We start from the raw sequence: 13,912 nt of genomic DNA, 5'->3' as shown, positions 1-13,912 counted from the left end.
CAGAGTCCCAAAGCCTCACAAGTAGGGAAGCCAACAGTGCAGCCTTCAGTCTGTGGCCAAAGGCCCAAGAGCCCCTGCCAAACCACTGGTGTAAATCCAAGAGTCCAAAAGCTGAAGAACTTGGAGTCCAATGTTCGAGGGCAGGAAGCATCTAGCACAGGAGAAAGAGGAATCTTGGAAGACTCAGCCAGTCTAGCCACGCTGGCAGCTGATTAGACGGTTCCCACCCAGATTGAGAGTGGGTTTGCCTCTCCCAATCCACAGACTCAAATGTGAATCTCCTTTGGTTAACACCCTCATAGACATACCCAGGAACAGTACTTTGCATCTTTCAATCCAGTCAAGTTGACAATATTAACCATTACAGTGTTCTTTACATATAAAGTTTTTACTTCATTTAAATCCAGTTTATTGATTTGCATACAAAAAATGCACCCATTTTCAGGTTAGTGAATTTGACAAATGTACATGCTATTGTAACCACTATCACCACAAGCAAGATATAGAGCATTTTCATGACTACAAAATTTTCTCTGTATCCCTTTGCCGTCGATCACCTACCCCATCTCTAGTTCCTGGAAACCATTGATCTGCTTTCTGTCATTAATAATGAGATATAAATGAAATGACAGGGTGCACACTTTTATACCTGGCTTCTTTCACTCAGCAAATTGTTTTAAGATTCATCTAAGTTGTTGCATGTCTCACTAGTTTGCTCCTTTTTATAGCTGTACAGTAGAATCCCATTGTATAGATATACCATATTTTATTTATTCATTCACCAGTCGAAAGACATTTAGATTATTTCCAGTTTGGGATAATTATGAATGAAGCTATTGTGAACATTTGTTTACAAGTGTTTTTATGGCCATGTTTTCATTTCTCTTGGGTAAATACCTATAATGGAATTGCTGAATTATATAGCAATTAGTGTATGATTAACTTTATAGGAAATATATATGGTTAGTGTATGATTAACTTTATAAGAAACCGCCAGACAAATTTGCCAGAGTGGTTGTTAAGTGTCTCATCCCACTAACAATGGAGAAGAGTTCCCATTGCTCTACATCCTCATCAACACTTAAAATGGTGAAAACGCTTTAAATTGTTAATATTTTGGTCATTTTAATAGGTATGTAATGGCATTTCATTGTGATTGTAACTTGTACTTCTCTAATGAGTAATGTTGTTGAGTATACTTTTTCATGTGTTTCTTGGCCATTTGAATATTATCTTTTGTGACAAATATTGCAAACATGGTAGCTGAAGACAAATTATTTACTTTGCTCACAAAATGGCAATTTGATCAGAGCTCGTTGAAGACAACTAAATGTCTGCTCTGCATGGCATCAGCCAGGGCAACTTGAAGGCTGAGGGTAATTCAACAGCCGGGAACTGAAATCATCTGAAGACTCACTCATTCCTGTGTCTGAAGTTGATGCTGGCCCTCAGCTGGATCTCGAGGGAGGCCATTGGCCAGAACACCTCCTCATGGCCTCTCCATGTAGCAGTTTGGCCTGCTGGGTTCCAAAAGCATCCCAAGAGAACGAAGTGGAAGTTCATGGCGTCTTATGACCTAGCTTCAGTCACAGTGTTATTTTCACAATACGCTAATGGTTGAGGCAGTCACTCAGGTGCAAGGGGAGGGGTCATAGCCACCACCTCTCAATGGAAGAAGTGTCAGCATCATGTCAGGGAAAAAAACTTGTGGAATGGAATATACTGTGGGGATATCTTTGGAAAATACAATCTGTCACATGTCTGTCCAAATCTTTTACTCATTGCTTTGTGTTGTTTTCCTATTATCCAGTTAAAATCTTTACGTTTTCTGGAAATGAGTCCTTTTTCTGTCTGAAGCTTGACTTTTCATTTTCTTCATGGTGTCTCAGAAAGAGTAAACATTTTTTCATTTGAACGAAGCCCATCTATCGATTTTGTCTTTTAAGGTAGTACTTTTTGTTTCCTGCCTAAAACATTTGTGCCTACCCCAGGCTCTTCAATATTTTCTTGTATAATTTTTTTAGTTTCAGTGTTTATGTCTAGATTTCTAATTCATTTCAAGTGAACTTTTTTTTTATTACTATACTTTAAGTTTTACGGTACATGTGCACAATGTGCAGGTTAGTTACATATGTATACATGTGCCATGTTAGTGTGCTGAACCCTGTAACTCATCATTTAACATTAGGTATATCTCCAAATGCTATCCCTCCCTCATAACCCACCGACAACAGGCCCTGGTATGTGATGTTCCCCTTCCTGTGTCCAAGTGTTCTCATTGTTCAATTCCCACCTATGAGTGAGAACATGTGGTGTTTGGTTTTTTGTCCTTGCAATAGTTTGCTGAGAATGATGGTTTCCAGCTCCATCCATGTCCCTACAAAGGACATGAACTCATCATTTTTTATGGCTGCATAGTATTCCATGCTGTATATGTGCCCCATATTCTTAATCCAGTCTATTGTTGTTGGACATTTGGGTTGGTTCCAAGTCTTTGCTATTGTGAATAGTGCCACAATAAACATACATGTGCATGTGTCTTTATAGCAGCATGATTTATAATCCTTTGGGTATATACCCAGTAATGGGATGGCTGGGTCAAATGGTATTTCTAGTTCTAGATCCCTGAGGAATCACCACACTGACTTCCACAATGGTTGAACTAGTTTACAGTCCCACCAACAGTGTAAAAGTGTTCCTGTTTCTCCATATCCTCTCCAGCACCTGTTTTTTCCTGACTTTTTAATGATTGCCATTCTAACTGGTGTGAGATGGTATCTCATTGTGGTTTTGATTTGCATTTCTCTGATGTCCAGTGATGATGAGCATTTTTTCATGTGTCTTTTGGCTGTATAAATGTCTTCTTTTGAGAAATGTCTGTTCATATCCTTCGCCCACTTGTTGATGGGCTTGTTTTTTTCTTGTAAATTTGTCTGAGTTCATTGTAGATTCTGGATATTAGCCCTTTGTCAGATGAGTAGATTGCAAAAATTTTCTCCCATTCTGTAGGTTGCCTGTTCACTCTGATGATAGTTTCTTTTGCTGTGCAGAAGCTCTTTAGTTTCATTAGATCCCATTTGTCAATTTTGGCTTTTGTTGCCATTGCTTTTGGTGTTTTAGACATGAAGTCCTTGCCCATGCCTATGTCCTGAATGGTATTGCCTAGGTTTTCTTCTAGGGTTTTTATGGTTTTAGGTCTAAGATTTAAGTCTTTAGTCCATCTTGAATTAATTTTTGTATAAGGTGTAAGGAAGGGATCCAGTTTCAGCTTTCTCCATATGGCTAGCCAGTTTTCCCAGCACTAATTATTAAATAGGGAATCGTTTCCCCATTTCTTGTTTTTGTCAGGTTTGTCAAAGATCAGATGGTTGTAGATATGCGGCATTATTTCTGAGGGCTCTGTTCGGTTCCATTGCTCTATATCTCTGTTTTGGTACCAGTACCATGCTGTCTTGGTTACTGTAGCCTTGTAGTATAGTTTGAAGTCAGGTAGCGTGATGCCTCCAGCTTTGTCCTTTTGGCTTAGGATTGACTTGGCGATGCGGGCTCTTTTTTGGTTCCATATGAACTTTAAAGTAGTTTTTTCCAATTCTGTGAAGAAAGTCATTGGTAGCTTGATGGGGATGGCATTGAATCTATAAATTACCTTGGGCAGTATGGCTGTTTTCACGATATTGATTCTTCCTACCCGTGAGCATGGAATGTTCTTCCATTTGTTTGTATCCTCTTTTATTTCGTTGAGCAGTGGTTTGTAGTTCTCCTTGAAGAGGTCCTTCACATCTCTTGTAAGTTGGATTCCTAGGCATTTTATTCTCTTTGAAGCAATTGTGAATGGGAGTTCACTCACGATTTGGCTCTCTGTTTGTCTGTTATTGGTGTATAAGAATGCTTGTGATTTTTGCACATTGATTTTGTATCCTGAGACTTTGCTGAAGTTGCCTATCAGCTTAAGGAGATTTTGGGCTGAGACAATGGGGTTTTCTAAATATACAATAATGTCATCTGCAAACAGGGACAATTGGATTTCCTCTTTTGCTAATTGAATACCCTTTATTTCCTTCTCCTGCCTGATTGCCCTGGCCAGAACTTCCAACACTATGTTGAATAGGAGTGGTGAGAGAGGGCATCCCTGTCTTGTACCAGTTTTCCAAGGGAATGCTTCCAGTTTTTGCCCATTCAGTATGATATTGGCTGTGGGTTTGTCATAGATAGCTCTTATTATTTTGAGATACATCCCATCAATACCGAATTTATTGAGAGTTTTTAGCATGAAGGGCTGTTGAATTTTGTCAAAGGCCTTTTCTGCATCTGTTGAGATAATCATATGGTTTTTGTCTTTGGTTCTGTTTGTATGCTGGATTACATTTATTGATTTGTGTCTGTTGAACCAGCCTTGCATCCCAGGGATGAAGCCCTCTTGATCATGGTGGATAAGCTTTTTGATGTGCTGCTGGATTCGGATTGCCAGTATTTTAGTGAGGATTTTTGCATCAATGTTCATCAGGGATATTGGTCTAAAATTCTCTTTTTTTGTTGTGTCTCTGCTAGGCTTTGGTATCAGGATGATGCTGGCCTCATAAAATGAGTTAGGGAGGATTCCCTCTTTTTCTATTGATTGGAATAGTTTCAGAAGGAATGGTACCAGCTCCTCCTTGTACCTCTGGTAGAATTCGGCTGGGAATCCATCTGGTCCTGGACTTTTTTTGGTTGGTAAGCTATTAATTATTGCTTCAATTTCAGAGCCTGTTATTGGTCTATTCAGAGATTCAACTTCTTCCTGGTTTAGTCTTCGGAGGGTGTATGTGTCGAGGAATTTATCCATTTATTCTAGATTTTCTAGCTTATTTGCATAGAGATGTTTATAGTATTCTCTGATGGTAGTTTGTATTTCTGTGGGATCGGTGGTGATATCCCAGTTATCATTTTTTATTGCGTCTATTTGATTCTTCTCTCTTTTCTTCTTTATTAGCCTTGCTAGCAATCTATCGATTTTGTTGATCTTTTCAAAAAACCAGCTCCTGGATTCATTGATTTTTTTGAAGGTTTTTTTGAGTCTCTATTTCCTTCAGTTCTGCTCTGATCTTAGTTATTTCTCACCTTCTGCTAGCTTTTGAATGTGTTTGCTCTTGCTTCTCTAGTTCTTTTAATTGTGATGTTAGGGTGTCAATTTTAGATCTTTCCTGCTTTCTCTTGTGGGCATTTAGTGCTATAATTTTCCCTCTACATACTGCTTTGAATGTGTCCCAGAGATTCTGGTATGTCGTGTCTTTGTTCTCATTGGTTTCAAAGAACATCTTTATTTCTGCCTTCATTTCGTTATGTACCCAGTAGTCATTCAGGAGCAGGTTGTTCAGTTTCCAAGTAGTTGAGCGATTTTGAGTGAGTTTCTTAATCCTGAGTTCTAGTTTGATTGCACTGTGTTCTGAGAGACAGTTTGTTATAATTTCTGTTCTTTTACATTTGCTGAGGAGTGCTTTAGTTCCAACTATGTGGTCAATTTTGGAATAAGTGCGGTGTGGTGCTGAGAAGAATGTATATTCTGTTGATTTGGCGTGGAGAATTCTGTAGATGTCTGTTAGGTCTGCTTGGTGCAGAGCTGAGTTCAATTCCTGGATATTCTTGCTAACTTTCTGTCTCATTGATCTGTCTAATGTTGACAGTGGGGTGTTAAAGTATCCCATTATTATTGTGTGGGAGTCTAAGTCTCTTTCCAGGTCTCTAAGGACTTGCTTTATGAATCTGGGTGCTCCTGTATTGGGTGCATATATATTTAGGATAGTTAGCTCTTCTTGTTGAATTGATCCCTTTACCATTATGTAATGGCCTTCTTTGTCTCTTTTGATCTTTGTTGGTTTAAAGTCTGTTTTATGAGAGACTAGGATTGCAACCCCTGCCTTTTTTTGTTTTCCATTTGTTTGGTAGATCTTCCTCCATCCCTTTATTTTGAGCCTATATGTGTCTCTGCATGTGAGATGGGTCTCCTGAATACAGCACACTGATGGGTCTTAACTCTTTATCCAATTTGCCAGTCTGTGTCTTTTAATTGGAGCATTTAGCCCATTTACATTTAAGGCTAATATTGTTATGTGTGAATTTGATCCTGCCATTATGATGTTAGCTGGTTATTTTGCTTGTTAGTGGATGCAGTTTCTTCCTAGCCTCAATGGTCTTTACAATTTGGCATGCTTTTTCAGTGGCTGGTACCAGTTGTTCCTTTCCATGTTTAGTGCTTCCTTCAGGAGCTCTTGTAGGGCAGGCCTGGTGGTGACAAAATCTCTCATCATTTGCTTGTCTATAAAGGATTTTATTTCTCCTTCATTTATGAAGCTTAGTTTGGCTGGATATTAAATTCTGGGTTGAAAATTCTTTTCTTTAAGAATGTTGAATATTGGCCCCCACTCTCTTCTGGCTTGTAGTGTTTCTGCTGAGAGGTCAGCTGTTAGTCTGCTGGGCTTCCCTTTGTGGGTAACCCGACCTTTCTCTCTGGCTGCCCTTAACATTTTTTCCTTCATTTCAACTTTGGTGAATCTGACAATTATGTGTCTTGGAGTTGCTCTTCTGGAGGAGTATCTTTGTGGCATTCTCTGTATTTCCTGAATTTGAATGTTGGCCTGCCTTGCTAGATTGGGGAAGTTCTCCTGTATGATATCCTGCAGAGTGTTTTCCAACTTGGTTCCATTCTCCCTGTCACTTTCAGGTACACCAATCAGACGTAGATTTGGTCTTTTCACATACTCCCATATTTCTTGGAGGCTTTGTTCATTTCTTTTTATTCTTTTTTCTCTAAACTTCTCTTCTCGCTTCATTTCATTCATTTGATCTTCCATCACTGATAGCCTTTCTTCCAGTTGATCTAATCGGCTACTGAGGCTTATGCATTTGTCATGTAGTTCTCGTGCCTTGTTTTTCAGCTCCATCAGGTCCTTTAAGGACTTCTCCGCATTGGTTATTCTAGTTAGCCATTCGTCTAATTTTTTTTCAAGGTTTTTAACTTCTTTGACATGGGTTTGAACTTCCACCTTTAGCTCTGAGTAGTTTGATCGTCTGAAGCCTTCTTCTCTCAACTCATCAAAGTCATTCTCTGTCCAACTTTGTTCCATTGCTGGTGAGGAGCTGCGTTCCTTTGGAGGAAGAGAGGCACTCTGATTTTTAGAATTTCCAGTTTTTCTGCTCTGTTTTTTCCCCATCTTTGTGGTTTTATCTACCTTTGGTCTTTGATGATGGTGACGTACAGATGGGGTTTTGGTGTGGATGTCCTTTCTGTTTTTTAGTTTTCCTTCTAACAGTCAGGACCTTCAGCTGCAGGTCTGTTGGAGTTTGCTGGAGGTCCACTCCAGACCCCGTTTGCCTGGGTATCAGCAGCGGAGGCTGCAGAACAGCGGATATTGGTGAACATCAAATGTTGCTGCCTGATCATGCCTCTGGAAGTTTTGTCTCAGAGGAGTACCCGGCCATGTGAGGTGTCAGTCTGCCCCTACTAGGAGGTGCCTCCCAGTTACGCTACTCGGGGGTCAAGGACGTGCTTGAGGAGGCAGTCTGTCCATTCTCAGATCTCCAGCTGCGTGCTAGGAGAACCTCTACTCTCTTCAAAGCTGTCAGACAGGGACATTTAAATCTGCAGAGGATTCTGCTGCCTTTTGTTTGGCAATGCCCTGCCCCCAGAGGTGGAGTCTACAGAGGCAGGCAGGCCTCCTTGAGCTGCGGTGGGCTCTACCCAGTTTGAGCTTCCAGGCTGCTTTGTTTACCTAGTCAAGCCTCAGCAATGGCAGGCACCCCTCCCCCAGCCTCGCTGCTGCCTTGCAGTTTGATCTCAGACTGCTGTGCTAGCAATGAGTGAGGCTCCGTGGGCATAGGACCCTCCAAGCCAGGCACGGGATATAATCTCTTGCTGTGCCGTTTGCTAAGACAGTTGGAAAAGCACCATATTGGGGTGGGAGTGACTTGATTTTCCAGGTGCCATCCATCACCCCTTTCTTTGACTAGGAAAGGGAATTCCCTGACCCCTTCCACTTCCCAGGTGAGGCAGTGCCTCCCCCTGCTTTGGCTCACACTCGGTGCACTGCACCCACTGTCCTGCACCCACTTTCTGACACTCCCCAGTGAGATGAACCCAGTACCTCAGTTGGAAATGCAGAAATCACCCGTCTTCTGCGTCGCTGACGTTGGGAGCTGTAGACTGGAGCTGTTCCTATTCGGCCATCTTGGCTCCACCCCCCTCAAGTGAACTTTTTTATATGATGTGAAGCAATGCTTGAATTTCATTGTTTTCTCTTACACACATCCAGTTGTTCCAGTACTATTTTTGAAAAGACTATGCTTTTGCCATTGTATTACCCTAGCAACTTTTCAAAAATCAATTTTATGTGGTTGTTCCTTTATTCTAAATGCCTAACTTTATACCAATATCACACTGTCTTAATTACTATAGCTTCACATGCAGTCTGAACATCAGGTAATAGAATTCTTCACCTGTATGCTTGTCTTTTAAAATTATTTTCACTATTCTAAATTCTTTGATTTCCATATACATTTTAGAATCACCTAATCTACACACACACACACACACACACACACACACACACACACACACCCCTGCTGAGATCTTAATTGGGTTTGTGTTGAATCTATAAGTCAATGTTGGAAGAATAGACTTTTTAATGAAATTATATTTTCTAATCCAAGAATATAGTATTTATCTCCATTTATTTAGGTCTTTATCTCAAAAAAATTGTGCAGCTGTAGTGTAGTATCAGGTATCCCAGGACTACCCTTAGGCTTAATGATTAGCTAAAATGATTCACAGGACTCAAAAATTGTTATGGTTATTGTTATTCCAGTGAAAGATAGAGTAAAATCAGCAAAGGGAAAAGGCACAGAGGGCAAAGTATGAAGGAAATCTGGAGCAACCTTCTCAGGGATGCACTTAATTTCCCCAACAACGTGTGACTCCACATACAAAGTGTTGCCAACCAGGGAGGCTCACCCAGGCTTGAGTGTCCAGAGTACTTATGGGGCGGGAAGATGGTCAGTCATGCGGGCACAGAGTGCCTTTGTGACTGGCCTCAGCTGCTCAGACAGCCACTGAGATGCTCAGCTAGTATTACTCCTTTATGCTGTTCGTGTGGTAAGTTGCACTGATTGAGTCTGACTTTTAAACCAAGCTCCCATTCTTAGCATAAAGCCCACTTGTTCAAAAGCTTTTATTGTTCTTGTCTATTGCTGGATTCAGTTTGCTAATCTTTTTGTGTCTGTGTTAAGACCACCCTGCTGTGCCAGTGCTGTGGTCTGGAAAGTGCCCCCCAGTGGAAAGCTGGGTGATTGCAGGACCCACCTCCTTTGTTTCTCTTCCAGGTGTCACAGTCCTGGGCTGCCCATTCTTCAACATCTGAAAACATTTCTTTCATATGTTTTGCTTCTTTCTTCTATTTGTTTGCAGTGGGAGGGCAGGTCCAATTCAGTTATTCTGTCATTTTGGAACTAGACATTTTTAGATAAAAATAATTTTTGAAAAAACAAAAATGAATAACACGACTTTTATTAAAATGTTCAGATTGTGTCAGTAACCATTGTATTTTTTAAATCTTTATTTTAGCACAATATAAGGATTTGTGGGCTGAATTTCAGACCACAGTTAAGGTGAGTTTTGCGTGTGTCTGTTGCCTCCATATAAATATCATATTTCCAAAAATGTTTACCTACCTAATAAGTGTGTGTGCTTTTGTGTCTGTGTGCACCTGCATGCACGCATCAGGGTGGAAATTCACACTAGCTCTCTCACTCCCCTGCAGTCCTAGATGCTACTGTGACCACCACCTCCTAAAATGTGTCTTTTTTTTTTTTTTTTTTTACCAAATATCACTATGAAATCTTAATTCTTTGGGAAACTGTCTTCCCACTCTACCACTCAGATAAGGTGGGAAAGACTGTTTTTTGCATGCCCCAAATGAACACATTTTGGTTCAGGACAAAGTTGTCAGTTCTGGACTCCTTACCTCTTCATGTTTTACCAGTGCAACATCTGCACCCTCCCCACTTCAGAGTCAGATAGGCTGGGGTCAAAATCCTGGCTCTGCCACTTTCTAAGTATTTAAAGTTTACACATAATCCTCATTTAAGTATTAAAACACTGGACTAGGAAAGCGTTAAAATGTCTTTTTCACATGGAGCTGCGGAGGCCCAGAGGGTTTATGTAACTTGTCCAAGACCAAACAGTTCATGAACGTATGGGAATTTACAACCCAGATCCTGCCTGATTCCAAAGTTCCTTCTGTTAGGCTGAATCTCTTCAGCTCTGTGCTTCTCTGAGGGTGAAACTAGCTTTTTATGCTGCCACCACCATGGCTACCATTATCCACTTAAAAATTTGAGTTCAGTGAGCATTCCATTATTCTTCTCACTTCATAATCCATTTTTCCAAGATTATGTACAGAACTTTGTGAATTGGCTGTGTACACAAGCACTTATTTTTATGACTGATACCAATTATGCATATATAATATTTTTTTTTGGACATGATCCACTTAGAATGTGTATTTATTTATGTTGTAGCAATTTATATTGACACAGCCTAAAATGCCATTTCTTTAGATCTTGGTGGACAATGGTGAAGAGACCTTGCAAGACATAAACAATCTAACAGACAAGCTGCGTGAAAGAGATGAAAAAATGCAGCATGTCAGTACATGGCTACGAGGGAGTCTTGAAGGGCTGCGTTTGCTTGTGGAACAGGAATCACCAATGGACCTTCTTAGTAAGCAACAGCTTAGAGCTTTGGTAACATGGGACTTCCTGCTATTTTACTATATAGCTGGTAACATCAAAAGAAGAAAAAACGTGTCAACTAAGTGACTTAGTTATCCCCAATTATGCCACAAACATTCAATTGAACATTGATACTTATTTGGGGTTGAATACTCTTGTAGTGTTATCCAATTCTGCCTTTCACCTAAGAGAATTTTCTAGATAACTAAATCTTCTTTATAATTTTTTTAAAAAGTTTATTTTAAACATTTTTCCAGAGAAGGCTTTTTAAACTCTTTTACACATTTTTTAGTCTTCTTAAACAGAAGTTGAATATAATTTTACATTTTCTTCCTGAACTGAGTTTAGCATTAAAAATAGCAACTGTTACCTTCTCAGAAAAATCTAGTGATGGCTGCGGGGGCTTCTGAGATGTTAACACATCATATCTAACATGCTTGACTCATGAGCAAGCAGTCCAGTCTCTCCAGAGGCGTATCAGCTTCATCCTCAATCCCCACAATAATGTCATGTTAGACATAGCCACAGAACTCTCCAGATTAGGGCAGTGGTGAGAATTGAAGGTGAGTCCTTGCACAGGTACAGCCCAGAGGTCCCAGTGACAGAATCATCTGGGAAGATGGGATGTGGGGGTAGAGGGAGCTTGGGAGAAGGAAAGAGAACAGAGTTTAGAAGAGAGATGGAGTGATGAAACAAGAATACTGTCATCTGGCAAGTGTACAAATCTATTTGTGCTTATCAAGGCTTAATTTTAAAGAGCATAATCACTAGATAAGCAATTTTGAAGGTAGGATGTAGAAAGTAAAATGGGATAAAAGTAAAAAGAGCTGCATGCAGTGACTCATGGTTATAATCCCAGCACTTTGGGAGGCTGAGGCAGGAGGATTGCTTGAGACCAAGTGTTCGAGACCAGCCTGAGCAACATAATGAGACCCTGTCTCTACAAAAATAATTTTAAAGTTAGCAGGGTATGGTAGTGCCTCTGCCTCAGCTACTCGGAAGGTTGAGATGGGAGAATTGCTTGAGCCTGGGAGGTCGAGCCTGCAGTTAGCCATGATTGTGCCACTGCACTCCAGCCTGGATGACAGAGTGAGACCCTGTCTTAAAATAAATGTAAAAAGAGGGATAGTGATAAGATTAAAAACATTCCAGTATTTGGGAAAACCTGTGTTCTGGGGCATTGCTTGACAGAAGAAATAACGTTTCAGTGGCCAATGAAGAACTTTGTGGGTAAACCCTCTTAGCTGCAAAGTCATTTTGATGGTCCTGCCTGGTGATCATGATGAGCCTGGTGATACTTATGATGTACGAATGCATAAAGGATCCTTTGTGGGCCTTGCTTCTATTTGTATTTCCTTTGCTAGGCCAGACCATTCCTTCCAACTATAGATCAAGCAAAATTTTGAGAGCTAAATCATCTGTAAGTGTCAAGGGCACTGTCTTCACATGAATTAATCTTCTGTTTTTATCTGAAACCCGATGGAATCTTTGTGTTGCAACAAATTTAAATAGACTCTTAGAGAAAGTTTCACTGAATTACTAATATCATATTTCCTTTTTCATATATTTTGAGGTCTGATGGATAATCTATGACAAGTAGAGACTGGCAGTGTGTAAATAAAAAGACCACCCAAATGAGAATAAGCAGAGGCTGTTTATGCAGAACTTGCTATAGCAATGGAGCCAGGCACTGTCTTAGTTCGTTCGGGCTACCATAACATTCTGTACACTGGGTAGCTTATAAATAACACGAATTTATTTATCACAGTTCTGGAGGCTGGGAAGTCCAAGATCAAGGCACTGGCAGGTTTGGCTTCTGCTGAGGGCCCACTTTCTGGTTCATAGAATGGTGCTTCCTCATTGTGTCCTCAAATCATTTAAGGGGTAAGGCAGCACTTTGGGGCCTCTTTGATAAGGGCACGAATCCCAAGACCTAATCACCTCCCAAAGGCCACACCTAATACACACTGGAGATTGTTTCAACATAGGAATTTTGGAGGAGACACAAACTCTCAGACCATAGCAGCCAGGATTACTTGCTTTTCTCTCTTTTTTTTTTTTTTTTTTTTGAGACAGGGCCTCTCACCCTGTTGCCCAGGTTGGACTGCAACCTCTGCCTCCCAGTCTCAAGCAATCCTCTCACCTCAGTCTCCCAAGTAGCAGGGACTACAGGCACGTGCCACTGTGCCTGGCTGCAGTGTGTGTGTGTGTGTGTGTGTGTGTGTGTGTGTGTGTATTTTGGAGACGAGGTTATGCCATGTTGACCAGGCTGGTCTTGACCTCCTGAGCTCAAGCAATCCTCCTGCCTCAGCCTCCTAAAGTGCTGGGATTATATGTGTGTGCCATGGACCTATTGGACTAAACAAAGCGGGGCGAACGCGGGAATAAAAGACAAAGACAAGAGAGTATATTTGGAAGAAGGGGTCAGGGGGCACCTTGCCTCTAGTGGACAAGTGCCCTGAACTTTACACAGCCCTCTGTATTTATTAAGCAAAAGAGATAGTGAGGTGTGTGGGGGGTCGGGGGTGATTGTCCGCCAGCAGCTTGATTCACAGCAGGCTTGTAAGACTGCATTCTTAGAACAATAGGCACTAGATTTCTCAATAGGTAACTTCAAGGAACCCAGTGCCAGGGAGTGAGGCCCTCAGCAAACCTTTTGGTGGCAAGGCAGTGTGAGTTTGCTCACATCCTGCGTTCATGATAAACAGTTTGCTGTTTGGTCATATAGCCTCCAGCGGAATGCTGAGTTGGTCACATCCCACAGGCCTTCAGCTCCCTACAGGTGTGAGCCACCATGCCAGCTAAGCTCTGCTTCTTACATGTTATCTAACCTCCACTCCTCAGTCTCCCCAGTTGTAAAATACCACTGATAAAACTAACAGGAGTTATAAAACACCAGACCCATATTAGGCACTCATCAGATCCCTGAAACCTACCACCCTCCTGGAGAGGTGATAGTAAAATCTGAATTTACTATTCAAGTCCTTGGCCATCTCTGAGCCACCTGTAACCTCCCAGCTTTTGAATGTTCCCTGTTGAATGGGTTCTGCCACAGGACTTCTGGAGAAGCCCTTATCTCAGTTCAGCACCCCTCTACTGTCCTCTTCTGGCCATGATAGTCACTGCAGCCCTGCAGGTCCTGCCCTCTCCA

The 13,912-nt window shown here is 41.1% G+C and overlaps 1 protein-coding gene across 6 annotated transcripts in view; it reads left to right on the top strand.

The window, feature by feature from the left end:
* The window catches only part of CCDC175 (coiled-coil domain containing 175), a 71,746-nt gene that overhangs the window by 55,417 nt on the left and 2,417 nt on the right, over positions 1 to 13,912 (top strand). For all 6 annotated transcript variants that reach the window (XM_011537124.4, XM_011537122.4, NM_001164399.2 and 3 more), the window contains 2 exons: positions 9,593 to 9,636; positions 10,588 to 10,750. In XM_011537124.4, coding sequence (XP_011535426.1) covers positions 9,593 to 9,636; positions 10,588 to 10,750 — 207 coding nt within the window. The remainder of the gene's footprint in view (positions 1 to 9,592; positions 9,637 to 10,587; positions 10,751 to 13,912) is intronic.

The sequence above is a fragment of the Homo sapiens genome, chromosome 14, assembly GCF_000001405.40.
Source record: "Homo sapiens chromosome 14, GRCh38.p14 Primary Assembly".
In the NCBI taxonomy this organism is placed as follows: Eukaryota; Metazoa; Chordata; class Mammalia; order Primates; family Hominidae; genus Homo; species Homo sapiens.
This window is presented reverse-complemented; position numbering and strand designations above follow the sequence as displayed.